This window comes from Homo sapiens, chromosome 20 (genome assembly GCF_000001405.40).
Source record: "Homo sapiens chromosome 20, GRCh38.p14 Primary Assembly".
Taxonomy (NCBI): domain Eukaryota; kingdom Metazoa; phylum Chordata; class Mammalia; order Primates; family Hominidae; genus Homo; species Homo sapiens.
Genome location: NC_000020.11, coordinates 1879006 through 1896775, shown reverse-complemented (window position 1 = coordinate 1896775; position 17770 = coordinate 1879006). Strand labels below are relative to the sequence as shown.

The 17770-nt window shown below is 54.1% G+C and overlaps 1 protein-coding gene and 1 long non-coding RNA gene across 14 annotated transcripts in view, besides 5 other annotated features; one reads left to right on the top strand and one right to left on the bottom strand.

The window, feature by feature from the left end:
- SIRPA (signal regulatory protein alpha) overlaps positions 1-2609 on the bottom strand; it is a 46426-nt gene extending 43817 nt beyond the window's left edge. For 4 of the 12 annotated variants that reach the window (XM_047439917.1, XM_047439919.1, NM_001330728.1 and 1 more), the window contains exons 1-2: positions 2259-2609; positions 1250-1337 (exon numbers count right to left, since the gene is read on the bottom strand). In XM_047439917.1, coding sequence (XP_047295873.1) covers positions 1250-1328 — 79 coding nt within the window. In that variant the 5' untranslated portion in view covers positions 1329-1337; positions 2259-2609. Of the gene's footprint in view, positions 1-1249; positions 1370-1809; positions 1841-1979; positions 2035-2258 lie in introns of those variants that run through there. The other 8 variants (XM_024451836.2, XM_047439916.1, XM_047439918.1 and 5 more) reach the window with 3 other exon arrangements.
- Positions 209-724: an enhancer, noted in NCBI's record as "H3K4me1 hESC enhancer chr20:1876698-1877213 (GRCh37/hg19 assembly coordinates)". NCBI's record gives its function as "activates a minimal SCP1, AML or CMV promoter by ChIP-STARR-seq in naive H9 embryonic stem cells {active_cell/tissue: H9 hESC(naive)}" and the evidence as "EXISTENCE:reporter gene assay evidence [ECO:0000049][PMID:30033119]".
- Positions 2016-2135: a silencer, noted in NCBI's record as "silent region_12596". NCBI's record gives its function as "represses an Ori minimal core promoter by ATAC-STARR-seq in GM12878 lymphoblastoid cells {active_cell/tissue: GM12878}" and the evidence as "EXISTENCE:reporter gene assay evidence [ECO:0000049][PMID:35858748]".
- Positions 2146-2405: a silencer, noted in NCBI's record as "silent region_12595". NCBI's record gives its function as "represses an Ori minimal core promoter by ATAC-STARR-seq in GM12878 lymphoblastoid cells {active_cell/tissue: GM12878}" and the evidence as "EXISTENCE:reporter gene assay evidence [ECO:0000049][PMID:35858748]".
- On the top strand, positions 2526-8654 carry LOC102724545 (uncharacterized). Of its 2 annotated transcripts, NR_186374.1 has the most exons (4): positions 2526-2657; positions 5608-5992; positions 7173-7249; positions 8467-8654. It is a non-coding gene; the product is annotated as an uncharacterized LOC102724545 (long non-coding RNA). The 2 variants fall into 2 exon arrangements; NR_186373.1 differs by lacking the exons at positions 7173-7249; positions 8467-8654 and having other exon boundaries at positions 5608-6701.
- Positions 5790-6314: an enhancer, noted in NCBI's record as "H3K4me1 hESC enhancer chr20:1871108-1871632 (GRCh37/hg19 assembly coordinates)". NCBI's record gives its function as "activates a minimal SCP1, AML or CMV promoter by ChIP-STARR-seq in primed H9 embryonic stem cells {active_cell/tissue: H9 hESC(primed)}" and the evidence as "EXISTENCE:reporter gene assay evidence [ECO:0000049][PMID:30033119]".
- Positions 17100-17601: an enhancer, noted in NCBI's record as "H3K4me1 hESC enhancer chr20:1859821-1860322 (GRCh37/hg19 assembly coordinates)". NCBI's record gives its function as "activates a minimal SCP1, AML or CMV promoter by ChIP-STARR-seq in naive H9 embryonic stem cells {active_cell/tissue: H9 hESC(naive)}" and the evidence as "EXISTENCE:reporter gene assay evidence [ECO:0000049][PMID:30033119]".

Genomic DNA, 17770 nt, shown 5'->3' with positions numbered 1-17770 from the left:
GTGGGGGGATGCCTATGTGAATTCCTGGGTTTCAGGGGAAACTGCAGGGCAGAGAGAAGCAGCTGTCTACCCCCCATACTTCTCCTTCCACCCACTCTTTGCTAGTTCTCCCTTTCTCCCTGCTATCAGATGGTTACCATCTCTAGTCAAACGCAAAAGGGGGTGTTGGACACTGAGCTCATCTTTACCTCCCTCCTCAAGGGTGGGAGGTACAGAGAGACCCCACTGCCTACAACACAGTTTCAAGACGACAAAAAACAAGATCCCCATTTTTCTCTCCCTCCCAACTCCCTTAATGCCATTTCTCTGCTCCCCCCGCCCCCCACCCGGTGCCCTCCCAGGAGACCCATGGTTTTGCAAAACCCATTTAAGAAGCAAGACTCCTGAATGGTGACCTCACCCTTTGGTGAACATGCACAGTAGCCTTCAGAGCCCGCCTGCCGGCGACAGCCAGGTGTTTGATGTAGGCCAACAGAAAGACATGGTCAGAGCCACAGGTAACATCCCCGCGGAGCACCTGAACTGCAGGGAGCTGCCTGGAAGCTCGGGGAAGGCAGGAGGAAGGGGGAGCTGGGAGCGCCTCAAGGAGCAAGACCACCAGGGAGAGGCTTTGGCAACCACAGGGACAATCCACCGTGTTTTTACATAAGGATCTGTTGCTCGCAGCAGCTCGCTCTGGGGTTACCGCGGCCTCCCGGCTCCCTCTCTCCCAGGCACACACTAACACCGGTTTACTCTGCGCACCAGAGGGAGGGCTCACTCTTCCCTAATTGCAACAGCTTGTCTCTGTTCCATTCCAGGCAGCATCGGGAGGACCTCTGCCCTCACCTCCTCCCCTCACACCCTGAAGTCAAACATGTGGAAAGTCGTATGTCCATGGGGACAGATTCTGGGGAAGCCGGACGGCCCTGCTCTGAAAGCCACTGTCAGTCAGCCTTCCCCATTGGACCGGGCAGGGGCTGAGTGAAGCAACTCGGCTCTTTTGTCTCAGTGCCCAGCACAGTGCACAGAGTCAGAGTCCACAGAGACAAACTCTCATAGAAGAGACTTGGGTTCTACCCTTGGCTGTGTGACCTTGGGCATGTCGCTGGCCCTCTCTGGGCCTCAGTTTCTGCATCTATAACCCTGGTTACAGGCGTCTCTCCCCCTATTACTGCTCGGCATTAGCCGAAGGGGTCCCAGTGCCAGTCTGAGAGGCCTGAGCCCGCAGTTTGGGGAGTGCAGCGGTGGGGAGCGGGGGGGTGCTTACCTGACCAGGCGCAGGACGCGGCGAGCAGCAGGCAGAGCAGCGGCCCGAGGCGGCCGGGGGCCGGGCCGGCGGGCTCCATGGGCCGCGGCTGCGGAGCGAGGAGGGAGAGCGGCCGTGAGTGCGCGCTCGGGCGGGAGCAGGCTGGAGCGGGGAAATGACTAAGGCTCCCCCCCTTCCCCCCTCCCGGCTGGGCCTCCCCCCGACTCCGGAACGGGCGCCTGGAGCGGCCGCCGCCGCCGCCGCGGTTTTTGGAGACCCCCCCTCCCCGCCCCCCAGGAGAAATGGAGAGACGGAGACTGGGAGAGACCCCAAGCGCGCGAGAAATAAAGCCAGGGGCGGCCAGAGAGAGGCGGCAGGAGAGAGAAACAGACCCAAGGGAGCCAGGCAGAGAGCCAGAGACACGGAGAGGCGAGAGGGGGAGAAAGAGGGGGAGAGCGAGGAGCGAGGAGCGAGGCGGCGCGCAGACCGACAGACCGCGCGGGAGAGAGGACCGCGCGAGCAGGGGCGAGGGGCAGCACGGCCGAGCCCGGCCGCGCGGAGCCGCCCCCGCCGCTGCCCACCTGCCCCGCCCGGGCTCCACACGGCGCGGGCGGCTGGGCTCGCTCCCGGCCCGCAGTCCCGGCCGCTGCCCCCGCCCTCCCGGCAGCCCGACCCCCTCCCTCCTTCCCTTTCCCCTCCTCCCGTCTTCCCGCCGCCCGGGGAGGCTTCGGGGCTCCGGCCCCGCCGGCACCTTCTCTGCGAGCGAGCGCCCGCCTGCGCGCCCCGGGGGAGGGAGCGAGGGCTGCGAGCTGCGCGCCCGGCCGGGGAGGGCAGCGTCCTCCCCCGCGCCGGCGCCCGGGCCCCGGCTGCTGTCCCGGGAAGGCGGCCCCGCGAGCCGCCGCGGCCCGCTGGGGCTCGGGACTAGACGAGCCTCCGGCTCCGACAGCGTGCCCGTTCAGAAGCCCGCGCGGCTGGTCCCCAGCCCCGACCGGTCCCGCTCTGCCCCTCCCCGTCCCTGCCGGGCCCGGACCTGCGCCGCCCGCGAGGGCTGGAAGGCACTGGAAGCGCCGCCGGGGCTGCCCAGAGGCCGGGTCCCCGCTCCACTTTGCGCAAACTTGTTTTTCTAAGGTCAGCGCTGCGAGCTGGCTACATCGTCCTCTTAAGGTGGACCGGGGAAGTTGCGGCCGACCTCCCCTCGCCTCCGGACTCCGGCCGCGCGGCTGCTCCCCGCTTCCCACTGGCGAGAGGCTGGAGGCGGCGAAGGAGTCGGGGCGCGGGGGCGCGGGGGGCGGGGGGGCGTCTGCCTTTTAACCCTCCCCAGGAGGTCGTGCCTCTGAGCCCCAAAGCTGAAGGCCCCTCTTGGGGGTGGGTGCGGGCCGGAGGGGCCCGATCCTTTCAGAGCCGGGCCGAGGTGAAGGAAAAGAAGGAAGTAAGTGAACGCAGGGGGAAGGGGAGAGGAAGAAGAGATGATGGTACAAAAATAGCGTGTGTGTAGGAAGGACTTCGGTGCCGCCTGGAAAAGAGGCGCGGGGAGGAGAGGGAGCGAGAAGGGGGCTGTGGCGCGCAACCAGAGGGGAAGGGTCGGGGCCTTCCCAGGGAGGTGGAGGCCCCCTGGCCAGGTGTCTCGGTGGTGGAGGGCGGACTGGGCGGGTGGGAGGCCCAGGCCGGGGCGTGTGTGGGAGAGCGGGGCCCTGAAGGCCTGGGTTCCGGGAGAAGGACAAGCCCTGAGGAAGATGAGGGGAAGGGGAGCCGGGGCCAGAGGCCTGGAGTTGGAGAGGACAGAACCCCGGTTTTCCCGGAGGGAACGCCGTTCCTGTAGTAGCCAGGTCAGTGATGGGGAGTGCCAGTGTCGTGGTCACCTGGCAGAAGGCTCCGCACTGTGGGAGGAACACAAGTTCAAGACCCCGCTGCTAATGGGAGAGAATTTTGGTTCACACAGTGGCGGTTAAGAGGACAGGAATGACACAAGGTGAGAGAAGGCCCAACCCTGTAAATGGACAGAAAGTTGAGGCCCGGAGAGGGAATAGGTTTGCTTAAGGCCACACAGCAAAGCTTGGGGTAGAAACAAGATTTGAATTCCTGATTCCCAGGTTAAAGACCTGTGCAAAGTAACACCACTGCCTCCCCTCCTGCCCCGAGCCTCCTGGTGAAGGCATGGCCCTGCTGTTGTGCAGGGGGGCAGGGAAGGTGCCACACTTGAGAACATGGGCTGAACTCCGTGGGTTCAAATCCCCCGGCTACTGTTATGAGCTGGGTGGACTGGAAAGTGCCTTACCTCTTCTGTGCCTCAGCTTCTTCATCTGAGACGAGGCCAGCGTGAGTCTCAATTGTGAGGATTTGATGAGTTAATATTTGTAAGACATGTTAAAAAGAGCCTAGCACATACCAAGTGCAACATAAGCATTTGATAAATAAGTGAAGTGTTTGACAACAGTCCTTGAGAACCCACAGGGTTCTGGGCAGCATTTGAAGTGCAAGGGAATTTTCATTTCTCTGGGTGTGGGAGAGCACGAGGTCCCTGTCCATGAGGAATTTATATTCTACTAGGGGAGACAGGTAAGTGGACAAGTAGAAATAATTAATGAAGAACGGAAGATTGAACTTAGAGAAGGAGAGGGGTGAGCGTATTTAGATAAGGGGGCCAGTAAGACCTCCCTGAGACATGGGTTGCTGAATCACAAGTAGGGTCAGCAAGGCGAAGATTTGGGGAGAAAGGTGTTCCAGGAAGAGGGCCCAGCACAAGGAGGGGAAGGCCCCAGGTGGCTAGGCCGGAGGAGAGAAAGCGCAGTATGCAGGACTGGGGAGGGTGGGATGGTCTCCAAGACCTGGGTAAAGAGCCTGCGTTTATTCTGCAGTTGGGAGACCCCTAGAGGGTTTTCAGCACGGGAGGGCCATGTCTGATTTATGTGTCTAAAAGGCCAGTCTGCAAGCGGAGGGTGGACTGGAGAGAGAGGAGCGTGGAATTGGGCACCAATGAGAAAGATTGTTCTGGGGTTATCCTGGTATCTGAGGTGGGTGCAGGGAAGGTCTCCAACTCTTCAGGCCACATCGGGTCTAGACCATGAAGGTAACCAGGGAGGCTCCTGGGAAAATCTGTCACCAGACTCCATCTGGGGTGGGAGTGGAGATGGGGGCTGCTGATGAAGTCAGAGAAGAGGCAGCCTCCTGCCCTGGACTTCCAGAAGGCTCTGCTGTTCACTGTTCCTCAAGACACATACACACTCACAAACCTGCTGGGGGATTAGGAAACTGGAGATTAGGGAAGGATAATAATTGAACCACCTGCTATTTATATATAGCACCTTTGGCAAAGGCGCTCAGCAGGGCTTCCCTCACCTCTCCCCCTGGAGGGGGCCCTGACCCTTGTTCTCTGTCCACATAAAAATCATCCTTGGCCAACCTCAAGGCTGAGAAGCCATTGAGACCCACGGGCCATGGGTAGACTGATGTGAGGGGCAACTTGTCTGAGGCCACACAGAGAGATTATGGCAGATAATTGACATGAATCAGCCACCCGCACAGCAGGAGGTCTGTGCTGCCCTGCGTTAAAATCTAACTGCCTTCACACATGTTCACTCACGCACTCAACAGTATTAAGCATCTGCTAGGTGCCAGGCACTGGGAATGCAACAGCTGGAAAACAGATAAAAATCTCTGCCCTCAAGAAGCTGACATTCTAGTGGGAGGAAACGAACCGATAAGATAAGTAAATTATTTAGTTTGTCAAATGGGACAGGTGCTACGGGGTGGGGGGAATTAGCCAGGGAAGAGGCCCAGGAGTGCTGATGAGAGGGATAGATTGCAATTTTGAAAACGGATCAAGGAAGGTCTCACCGAGGAGGTGAGATGGGAAGCCAGGGGTGGTTGCATCCCTGCTTTTGCTGCTTGACTCTTCCTCTTACTCCTAGAGGGCACAATCTGTCAGCAAATCCTGCCTGCTGGGCCTTCTCATCACAACCAGGGCCAAACCACTTCTCAGCGCCTCCGCTGCTTCCGCCCTCGTCTGAGCCTCCACCGCTCTCACCTGGGCGCCCTATTTCCACCTTGTGCCTTCTGTCGATTCCTCACTCACCAGCCCGAGGAATCCTTGCACAGAAGTCAGATCACATTCCTTCCCTGTTGTCAAGGGAAGAAGACAAATGGGCATGAGAAGGAGAGGATCAGGGGCTTGGAAGCCAAGATTTTGCCAATTTGACTTATGCAACTTGGGCAAAAAAAAAAATTGAGCCTCAGTCTTTTCATCTGTGAAATAGGGATAACAAACTCTGATACGAGGGGTCAGTAGTGACAAGGATGTGAAAGCAGCCACGATGGCATGGCAGGGCCTATCTGGAGTTTGGCCTTTGCAGGGGGGTAGATGACACCCTTGTGTGTTCTAGGTCCTTTGAGATACATTATCTCACTGAAGCCTCAGCAACTCCGCGGTGTTCCCAGAGGTGAGGAAACACACTGAGAGACAGAACACGACTTGACCAGGGCCACCCTGTGGGGCACGCTGGCACCTGCACAGCCCAGCTTCACCTGGTTCCAGCCCTGCCCGCGCTCTGCTCCCCACTTCCCGTAACCCTGGGCTGGCGTCAGCAGGCAGGCCTGCCAGGAGGCTGGAGCTGCCAACGACCTATTTTTCTGGGCAAGAAGAGCCATTTGGAGTTAGAGGTCTCAGCTGTGAAGCCAGAACAATAAAAATAAAAACAGCACGGACTCCTGGGCAGCCTGGACCAGGGAACCAACTGCCCCAAGAGTTGCTGCTCACCAGGCTGGAAGGCAAGTGGGGTTGGGGGGATGGGAGATGGGAGTGACCTTACCGAGCCCCTGCTATGTCCTCCGGCCCTTACAGAGTAAGGGTAATCTCCAAGGTTCACAACAGGCCCTTTGTCTGGGTGGCCAGACCAGTCAGGATTTGAACTCAGTTTTCCAAACAGTAACAATTCCCATCTGTTCAGCAGCTACTATGCTTTACAGACTTGTGACATTCATACCACACCTGGGGGGGTGAGCTAATCATTCCCTCATTCTACAGATGAGGCAGCTGAGACTTCAGGAGGCCTCTGCTCACACGCCACCTCCTTGAGAGGCCTTGCCAGACCACCCTGTTAAAGTAGTCACCCTCACGCCTGCCCAATATGCCCTACCCTCTTCCCTATTTTATCTTCATAGCATGCATCACGACCTGCTAATATTGTGTGTCTCCACTGCATTTTGTCTGTCTCCCTAACTAGCTCCAGGTCAGTTTATCCTAGTGGCTTGCACTCCAGCGGTCTCTCAGACTAGCCCCGTGGGGCAAGTTATTTTGATGATCTGTGCTTCCTTCGGGGTAATGATAGGACCTTACCTGAAAGGTTTCTTGTGAGGGTTAAATGAGTTAATATCGGTTAAGTGTTGGCCGCTGCCATTGTTTTGTCCCAGAGCTGTAGCTCCAGGGTCTTTAACAGTAAACAATAGGTTGTCAATAAATATGTATTAAATTTAAAAACTGGGCTGGGCATGGTGGCTTACACCTGTAATCCCAGCACTTTGGGAGGCAGAGGTGGGAGGATTGCTTGAGCCCAGGAGTTCCAGGCTGCAGTGACCTATGATTGCTCCACTGCACTCCAGCCTGGGCAACAGAGTGAGAACCTATCTCTAAAATAATAGTAAGTAAAAATAATAAATAAATGAAGCTCTCTGCCCACGATCCAATCTCAGGGTAAGGAATTGGCACAGCCTGGATTTGAAGGTGGGTCTCTATGAACCTGTGCTTCAATCCATCCCACTTCATAATCGCCTCTCCACAGGCCTCCATCCAACCACAGCTGCACAGGCATCAGAGCTTTGGTTCTACAACGTGAGCTGATACCAATAGCCCCTGGAGGGATTGTTAAAACACTGATTCCAGGGCCCTAGCCATGGAGTGTCTGATTCAGTAGGCCTTAGGTAAGGTCTGAAAATCTGCATTTCTAACAAGGTCCCAGGTGATACTGACGCTACTGATTCAGGGATCACACTTTGAGAACCGCTGAATAGACTGCCATTCAAGCCAAGGTGAGACTCCTTTGTAAGCCTGGCCCCAGTTTCCGTGTTGGTTAGTCTGTCCATCCCTGTGGTTTCTGTCCTCCCCTTAGGGCGAAGGCAGAGGGCAGGACAGCGCTTGCTGTAGAGACTGTAGCCAGTGCTCTGATGCCTAGGGGCTGTGACAGATCACTGAACCCAGGGGAGCTTTGCTGTAATTAGTGCTTTCCTGGGGAAGTCAGTGATTGAGCAACTCGGCAGGCAGGCAGGCAGCTCATAGGAGCCCATAAGGGGTGGGACCACACTGTCGGGCCCTAAACACTGTTCTCAGGCTCTGGGGATCTAGCTCCACCCAGAGCTGAGCCCTCCCCAACACCTCTGGGTGGGTGTACTGGTGGTGTTGCAGGGGCAGAGAGCTGATTGCCTCAGCCATCACGGAGAGACCTGGGTTTGAGTGCTGACTGCCTAATAGTACTAATCACAGGTAAACATAGGAGTGTGTGTTAAGCCCCAGGCCTGAAGGGTTTCAGCACATTATCTCATGATGCCTCCCTGTGATTATCTTACGTGGACACAATTCTTATCCCCATTTCACAGATGAGAAAACTGAGGCACAGAGAACTTAAGGAGCTTGTCCAAGAGCCCACACCTTGAGAGCTCCAGAGCCAGGCTTTGAATCCAGGAGCTCTCATTCCCTATCCCCTGCTCCCGACCTCTGCACATTCTGACTTCTACTTGCTTAGGATGAGCTTGGGATGCCCCACAGTGCCCTCTCTGGGTTTCCATCACTACTGAGGTGTTGGCTTGATGATTTCCAGGTCCTGATGGTTTCCACGTCCTTCTCAGGTGCCCAGCACCAGACCTGCTAAAAGGTCTTAGACACACAAGGATCTGGTGGATGAAATAAGGAATGAACAGATGACCCTAACTCCAGTTCTGATGGGACAGTGTAGCTCAGTGGCTAAGAGATATGCATGCAATTCCAGGCGCTGCCCCTCACTATGTGTGTGATCTCGAGTGGGTCTCAGCCTCAGTTTTCTCATCTGAAAATAGGTGAGGGCAGGATTAATGCATAAAGAGGAGAGCGAGAGACAGAGACGAGAGAGAGAGACAGAGAAAATATGCACCAACGCATGGCAGCTGAGAATGATGTTTGTTGCCTGCTCCATCTCAGTCTGTTCGTGCAGTTCCTCAGGCAAAATACCTTGGTGCCCTCCTTGACTTATCTCTTTCTCTTCCTTCCCTGCCAGCCAATCCTCTTGGCTCTACCTTCAAAATAAACCCAGAATCCAACCACTCCTTCCCACCTGCATCACACTCCGGTCCCAGTACCTTCATTTCTCACCTGGATTAGTGCAGTCACTTCCTCACTGGCTCCGTACTTCCTGGACTCCCCACCTTGTTGCTTCTTCAATAAAAGCCTCCCAATGGCCTTCCACTCCTTCTCTTGGAGTAAAACCTGAAGTTCTCAGTGCAGCTCAAAAGGCCCCCTGTGATCCCCTGCTTCACTGACCCGGTCTCCCCACACTCTCCCCCTTGCTCACTCCACTCCAGTTAATTCACCATCTCAGTATTCCTTGAACATGCCCAGCAGGTGCCTACCTCAGGGCCTTTGCACGGGCTGTTCCCTGTGCCAAGAACCCTCTTCCCCAGCTAGCTGCCTAGTTTGCCCCTGACTCTTCCTTAGGGTCTATGCTCAAATATCACCTCTGCAGAGAAGCATGTCCTGACCACTCAGCTAAAACTGTCCCATCACTTCCTATTCCCTACTCCACTTTATTTTTTGATAGCATTTCCATTTCTTGACAGCATATCAATGTTATACATTTGATTGGTTGCGTGGCTCTCCTACTGATCTTTGAGCTCCATGTGAGCTCTTTGCCTTTGTTCCCTAGCACCTGGAGCTGAGCCCACACAGAGTAGGGCCTCAGGCAGAAACTACTGATAGAGTGAAAGAAGGAGCAGGAAGCAGGAAACAGGAAGCAGGATGCAGCTCTGTCCATGAGGGCACTGGCAGCTGGATCCAGGGGCTCAGGCTCCGCCACCCGAGGGCCTGGCTTGGCTTGGGTTTCCTGAAGGAACAGGTGTCCTCGTTGGACTCCCCCGGCTGCTTTCCTGGGCAGGGAAGCCAAGACTCTAGTTGGCCTCATTCCTGTACCCGAGAAAGGAAGTGTCCATCCCTGGGCAGGAACTGGTTTGGCTCTCAGGGAAAGCCTAAACAACACATACCACTGTCTTTGCTGCTGCAGCTTCCGATTGGGACCATGCCCTCTGGGTAGCAGTTGGCCACACCAGCCTTCATGCTGCCACTGCTGCTGGAGCAAGGAGGGAAGTGGATTGGGAAGTCTCCCAGAGCCCTTTGGACTGTATCTGATGGGAGCCTCATAGCCGTGCCATACCTATTGTACAGATGAGTAAACAGAGGCTCTACCTGACCAACATATTGACTTAGTGGCACAGAAAGGCCATAAACCCAGATCTTTTGATAGCAAATCCCTTAGTCCCCCTCCTTACTCCCAACTCACACCCTGCTGCCCCAACGCCTACAACCCTGGCTGGTTCATACTTGAAATTCCACCATTATAGTTTTCTTTCTCACTGTGTCTCATTCCCTCTTCAGCAAAAAAGGTGGTAACTATCCCCATGAATCTCTGGGAATAGATGAGGAGACTGAGGCGCAGAAAGGGAAATGGGTGGCCTGAGCTCTCACGGCCTGTAGGCATGACAGGCCAAGTTAGAAAATGTTAGTCTGTTTTTCCTCTTTATGTTTCTTCTCTTCAGCTTCAAGCAAATAGTTGGGCTTAGTAAACAGGCACTGCAGGGATTTAGGCAGAAAAATGAACTCCCCTTAGTCTTTAGTAAAGTCTAAAACCAAAGAGATTCCCAGGAAAGACTGGGAGAGATTGGGGGCAAGCACACTGGAGAAGCTGGAGGGGGTCAGGCTGACAGGGGGTGCTGCCCCCACGCCAGCAGGATTGGGGAGGGGACAAGGCCTCCAGGGCAGGCCTCACGGTGGCTCCAGGTAGCCATAACTGTGTCTCAAGACCTCTGCCCTCATGGAAGACCCCACAGCCCCACAGGGTGACTGAGATGGGTGTCCCTTAGGGTGGGACAATGGGCACGGCCTCCATCAGCCAACAGATATTTATTGAGCATCTACTATGGCCAGGGGCTCAGCTGGATGCTGGAAATGAGATAGTCACAGTTCCTGCACTCAAGGCATTCACATTCTAGTGGAGGAGATGGAAAGATAAATGTATGAATTAGGGGGGAGGGGATGCTATTCTATGCAGTGGAGGTCTCACTCAGGGAGTGGAGTTTCCTAAGGAAAGTATGAAGGAGAGCCATAGGAACACCAGGTGAAAGGAATGGCCAGTGCAAAGACCCCGGGAAGACCCTGGGATGACAAGTTCAAGGGCAGCTGGGCAGCCAGGCAACGGGAAACTAGCCAGGAGTGAGGCGGGAGATGAGGTTAGAGAGGAAGCAGGGTCCAGTCTGTTGGGCCGTGCAGGCCAAGGTGAGGCCTTCAGCTTTTACTCAGAACCAGATGGGAGCCACTGCGGGATTAGGAGCCGAGGAGCTGCAGGCAAGCAGTGTGGACAGATTCCTGGAAGCCACCTCAAATGTCCAGAGACTCTCTAAGACCCTGCATCTGAGCAGGCTCTGGAGAGGAGAGAGCCCCAAGAATGACCAAGGTTGGGCTTGCTTCACGTCACCCCCATGGGATACATTCACAGACCAGATGAGTTTAAGTAATTTGAGGCTTCTCAAACTTTATTCTTGCTAAATGCAGATTCTGACTTAGTAGGTTTGTAGCGGGGCCAAGATTCTGCATTTCTGATAAACTTCCAGGTGAGGTTGAAGCTGCTGGTCCCTGGACTGCACTCTGAGCAGTGAAGATTTAAAGGAAAGAAATGGCCACATCTGGCCCAACTGTGCCTGTGGTTTGAGAATCATACCTGCTGCTTGGCTTCAAGGCCGTCATTCAGGGCTCTTGACAAATCGTGCAGCCCCTCCACTCAGCCTGTTGCCCCCAAAAACCAAATGGGTCTTTCCCCAGCTCCATGCTTCCTGTATGACATAGGAGTGGTCAGGGTGGGCAGTGGGCTCCGGAGCCAGCTTACTTGGGTCCAGATTCCAGCCGTGGCAGCTACAGGTGGCAAGACTGTGGGGAAATGATTTTATTTGTCTTGCCATTTAGTTTCTCATCTGCAAAATGGAAAACTCATGACAGCTTCTTTACAGAGCTATTTGAAGATTCAAAGGCATAATATATATCAAAAGTCTGGCACACAGGAGGGACTTCATAAATGTTATATCACTTTCCCTTCAGTTTCACCTGTCCTTTAAAGTAGTGATCTATGTACCTTTATCTCATTTTTCAAATTTTTCTATTTTGTGTATGTGTTCTATGAAGTACATAACAAAGAAATATACAAAAATTTGTAAAAAGTATCAAATGTACATACATTGAGGAATACATGTTTTAAATGTTTTTACTGATAGGGAATATGATACAAAAAATTTTGAAGACCACTGTTTTGAAGCCCAGTGGAATTGATAGAAATAGACTCTCAGGGCTGGAATAGATTTTAAAGGCCTTCAATTCCCCTGGCACCCACTCTCCCATCTGATGCCCAAAACCCTTGGTTGCACTAGATTGCCTCCAGGGGTGGGGAGCTCACTACCTTTCCAGGCAATCCATTTTGTACAGCTCTGGGAATGGTTTCCTGAACCCAGTGCCTATCTGTATTCTAGCTGCCTCTGAGTTCCCGGGGGCTGACTGAACTGCTCCTCCCCTTACTCCACTGTGTCAGAGCCCTGGGATCTCCCAGGGGCCCAGTGCCAGGTTGTGTGCAGAGTGGGCCTAAATAATGTCCCATGAATGAGAGGGAGTGGGAGATGGGGATGAGAAGGGGGATTCTGACAACTCTCATTTGGAGGTATGTTAACAGCTGAGTGCTGTTGTCCCCCTGGGAGTGTGTTGATCTGTGTAACTCTGGATCCGTATCTATTCGTTTGGATTTATTTGCATGGGTTTGTACATTTGAGTGTGTATGCATGCATTGTGTGTTTTGCTGTGTGGCTATATATGAGTGTGTGTGTATGTCTATGTTGCACCGCAAATATCCACGTGTGCTGTGCATGTCTTTCTCTGTTTTTCTGCATGCCTGCGTGTCCAGGTGTATGTCACTGTGGGGTTGTGTGTCTGTCTCTGGTTTGTTTGCATGTGTGTGAGTGCTGTACGCATGTGGGCGTGTGCTGTTTGCACTGTCTGTGTGTGCGTGCACATCTCTGTTTCTTTGTGTGTCTGTGTGCCTGGGGCCCTCCTTTGTGTGTCTCTGTGTGTGTGTCTGAATCTGCAGGAGTGCGTTTCCCTTCCCTGCTCAGCCCTTTCAGGGAGCTGAGGTGATTCGCTGCAGCCTGGTCGACTTAAGGCCGTCCGACTGGCAGGCAGCATGGCTTCCACACCCTCCTCTCTGTTCTGCTGTGCTAATCACTGGGTTATATGTAGATGGCAAATGTGTGGCTGCCAGGCTTGGAGGAGGGACTGTGGAGGGGGGTGTGCAGATGAGCAGACACCAAAGAGTGAAAAGACAATTTAAAGGCAGAAAGGGGGAAAACAAGCCTGCTTGGCTTTGGAGTTACGGGTGTGGGGTTCTTCCCAGAGGCGTGAATTTTATTAAGGGGATGTGATGACTACGATGTCTTCCTTCCCCTAATCAAGTAAGAGTCTTAGAATCACAGGATTCTAAAATCTTGGAATTGTCGAACTATAGAATTCTAGAATCTCAGCCGAATGCAACTCTAGACGCGTAGAACCTCTTCAAGGACCCTAATCCTCCTGGGATTTTAGCATCTTCACATGCACATGCAGTTCTTCTTGTCCCCCTTCTCTTTGTATAGAATCATGGCCAGAAAATGACCTTGAAAGTTCATCCAGTCCACCCCACCCTGGCTCCGGGCAGGGCAGTGGAGACAGAGGTCCAGCCAGTGAGGACATTCTTGGAAGTGTTGCACTGGAATCTTCCCTGGCTCTCTTGCTGGACAAGGACTTGTTGCCTGAAGGGTCTGGGGTCTCATATTACTCTCCCCACCGCCACCTGCCACAGGGACTGAGTTCCTGGCGAAGACAAAGGCACCTATGTTCCTAGGATATGTTCTTAGCAGTTCAGGAGCTGACACAGGCTGCAGGTGTGGGGAGAGTAAAGGGGCAGGGCTCTGTTTCTCTGAGATCCTCCCTCGGTGGAGTCTCAGTAACCTAGCCTGGGGTGGGGGTGGGTAGCTAACCAGGCAACCACACTCATGCCCCAGGATATTCAGTGGGGTGTCTTCTTCCTCTTATTGCTTCCTCTTACTGCTTAAAAGAGTAGACTATATCCGGTCGGGCACGGTGGCTCACGCCTGTAATCCCAGCACTTTGGGAGGCCCAAGTGGGTGGATCACCTGAGGTCAGGAGTTCAAGACCAGCCTGGCCAACATGGTGAAACCCTGTCTCTACTAAAAATACAAAAATTAGCTGGGCTTGGTGGCGCATACCTGTAATCCTATAATCCCAGCTAATCAGGAGGCTGAGGCAGGAGAATCGCTTGAACCCGGGAGGCAGAGGTTGCAGTGAGCCAAGATCACGCTATTGCACTCCAGCCTGGGGGACAAGAGCGAGACTTCATCTCAAAAAAAAAAAAAAAAAAAAAAGAGAGTAGACTGTGTCCTATCTCAGGAATCCTGGGAGCCATGGACTATCCCTGAGGGAGGGCATTGCACTGTACTTTGAAACCCTCCAGGACTCACCTATACTCTTTAATGTGGCAGCTTTTCAGGCTCTGGCTACTAGCCATCCCATCCCTCCCTCCCTCCCTCCCTTGCTCCCTGCCTCACTCCCTCCCTTTCACACATGTCCAGCCGCAGTGAACTCCCTATTCACCTTGAAGCTACTTGACTTCATGCCTCTGAATGTTTGCACAGGCTCGCTCTCTTCTTTATCTCTTCTTCTTGGTGCAAACCTTGTTCATCCTTGGAATACAAGCTCTCACTCAATTGTAAGCACCATGAGAGAGTTTGGTTTATTTAATACTTTATTTCCCTGAATCTACAACATTTGGCACACATTAGGTATTGAACCAATGTTTGTTAAATGACTGACTGAATGTACAGTTCAAAGTCAGCTCATTTCCACTCTGAAGCCTCAATTCTCCAACCCCTTCTAGATATTTCCCTGGGGCCCGCACCACGCCCGAGATTACCTGTGGTTGTGAGCCCTTGCTTACTTCTTCAGCGGACAGGGAACCTCTTGAAGCTGGAGTCGTGTCTGGTTAATCTTTTTACACGTAGCATCCAGTTCAGGGCCTGGTACCCAGCAGGTGCCCAGCAAATGTGGGGCCCTTGCCAGCAGCCTGGCTTGGTGACTTGAAATCCCCTGTTGGTCCCAACTGCATGCACCGGTCCAAGCTGTTGGCAACATCTGCCTCAGAGTCTCATTTGCAATTATACATTCTCAGGCTCTTGCCACTTAATATTTAATAACCAGGCGGGTGGCCTTCTCTGGCAGCCAGTTAAGTCCCTGATTGCCTCTTGTCTGAACTTGGCCCCAAGTGAGGCAGGGACTGCTTTGGGGTTAAGTGTAAAGTCTGTGTCCTGAGTTGGGGGCTAGCATAAGGCCAGACCGTTGGAGATGGAGGAAGGAACGGCTGCTGGCTCAAGGCTTCTGGGTGACCTTACCAGGCAAGAGGCAGGTTGGGTATTTGCTCCAACTGGTTCCACCTCTCCTCCCCTTCCATGTAGGTCGACGCCCGCTCCTGGCCTCATAACAGGGGAGGAGGAAGGGAGGAAATTTGTTAATGAGAGGGTCCCTGACTCACATCTGATTGGTCCAGGAGAAAGAAAGGGGGATTCCGCCTGGGCTGTGTCCCAGCAGGAAAGGTGGTTCTATCCTGTGTGGTTTGGCCACCAGGAGCCAGGGCAGTCCCTGTGAGGGCCTATGGCGCCACGGAGTGGGGCTCTGGCAGCCGTGCCAGCCTCTCCTGGCACAAGGCTGGGGAATCCTTCCAAGTTGGCTGTGGAAGGAGATGAGGCAAATGGTGATGACCTGACCCTAGGGGTAACCCAAGCTGCTGCCGAGCTCTGTGAAACCCTGCAGGCCCAGGGAGGCGTGGGTCAGTTCTAAAGGCTGACCTCTGCAGAACTGCTGGGGTGAGAGGGCGCAGAGAGGCCAAGTGACATCCAAAGGTCATGGGAGGCTCCAGGAAGGGGAACAGCAAGCACAAAGGCTCTGAGGCTGGACTCTGCTACCGAAGCCCGAGGTCCAGAGAAGGACTCACACCTGGGAATCTCAGACTTTAGATCCCAGAGGACATTTTACAGGGTCAAGAGATCCCACTCTGCCCCTAACAAGCCCAGTGACCTGGGACAAGTCACCCTGGTGTTTATGCTGTCACCGCACATGTTGGGCAACATGACTGCCTGAACCCTTCCTGCGTGGAGTCCTCTGTTATCCCCTCAGAGGTCATTTGGTGCAATCCAGGAATCTGAGACCAGAAATGCCGCTCTGTTGATCAACAGGGCTGGTTCCTGTAGAAGGTGGTGCTTAGTGTAGAACACTATGCTTTCCCAATGGGCAGTGTTTACCAGCACTTACTGTATGCAAGGGGCCACGCTCAATAAACCCTCTGCTAACATACATGGTCTCAATCACCTGTGCCATCCTTGTCCCTTCCCTTTCCCTCTCCTGCTCATCATCCTCAGATCCTGTGACAGTATCTTTAAAACCCAGCCCAGCCCTGGTCCACTGTCTCGTCCCACATTCCCCTGCACTACCTTCTTAGACCACAGCTGCTGTCATGCCCATGGCTGTACCAGCCTCTTTTCAGCTCCCCTGCACCACCCTGGCCTCTGCAATCCATCCCCTACCAGCAGCCAGGAGGCCTTTGAACCATCAAAATCAGATCACATCCCTCCCCTGCTCTGAACCTCCAGGGACTGCCATGGTGCTTCCAGTCAAAATGAATCCTGCAGCCATGCTGCTCTACGTGGCCAGTCCCCACTCTTCTCCATCCTGAGGTTGTCCATCTTTGCTGCCCACTCTGCTTCAGCCACACTGGCCTCCTTCCTCTCCTCAAACGTGTCCCTTGAGGCCAACCTGGGGCCCTTCAAGGCTGTTGATGTCACCTGCGCCTTAGTTCAAATGCCTCCCCCCAGAGTATCCTTCCTTCATTCTCTAAAAGACCGCTCCTCCTTACATCTGGCCCCTTGTTATCCCATTTCCAAGTTTTATAGCACTTATCACTTTCTCATATTTCTCTTATTTATTTATGTGCACCCTCCCCCACCTGGAATGCAAATTTCGTCAGAACAAGACTTAGTCCCTGTTGTTCCCTGCTGGTTCCCAGTGCCTAGAAGGCACCAGCACGTGGCAGGGACTCCATGGGATTTGTCAGAGGAGGGATGACATGGCCTCGAGGGATGAGTGTAATAGTAGTATCCCATTTAATAGGAAGCCCAGCAATGCTAGGTGCCTGTGCAACTTACCAAACTTGTGAAGGGTGGAGTCGGGATTCAAACCCCCATCCAGGGGGCTCCAGCATCTATGCTTTTGTTCAGGAGGCTGCATGCTGTGGTCATGGTCAGAGCCCCTGAGCCCCAGGGACTCAGAGGTCAATTAGGGGTGGGGGAGGGGGAGGCACTGGTGCTGGTGGTGCCTGGGATGTACTTTTCGATTTTGCCCCCAGCTGGGGCCCTACCTTAAGGTTAGGGTTCTGGAACGAGGGGCAGCCTCACCCATACCCCTCTGCCCAAAGGCTACCCCTGTAGCTCCTGTTGAGGCTGCTGGGCCCCCTGGAAGTCCCTGGCTTAGCTGTGGGTCAGTGAGCTCATCCCCTGCCCACCCTACGGCTTTCCAACGCTCCCTCCCTCTGCCGCAGTCGTTGCTACACAAGTTAATGGAATAACAAGACACTTTACCTATTATCTGATGCAAATACCTTTCCTCGCCAGCACCAGCTGTACAGCTCAGATCTTCCTGTAACCCAGCAAACAGGCCTTCAGCTCCAGGCTCCAGCTGAAGAGGCCTGAGCACCAGCCAGGCACTGACAACCCCCTAGCTCGAGCCCTGGAAGGAGGGGTCAGGGGTGTTGTGCTGATGGGGTTGTGGCACCAATCTTAGTACTTTTCACCGGCGACCGTACAGTGAGGCCCACTGTGCACAGGTAGTTTGCATATTTCACCTTCACGTGATTACATACAATTCTGATCCTCACTAGGCAGATGTGAGGATGAAAGGCTCAGGCAAGTCTGTGTAGCGCTCAAGTGGTGGATCCAGGTGGGTTTCACACCCACATCCTAAAACTTGACCCCTCTCCTATCCACTTCCTAAGGGCTTTGTCTGAGTGGCTCCATTTAGACCCGATTTCTCTAATAGCTCCATAGTAGGAGTTCTACTTATAGACAAAGAAGACGAAGGGGGTAGCACCTTGCTCAGCCACACCAGGGTAAGTAGGACTGTATGCCCAGGAAGGTGGATGTGTGTAGGGGGGTGCAGTTGGGTCAGGAGAGTTCCCA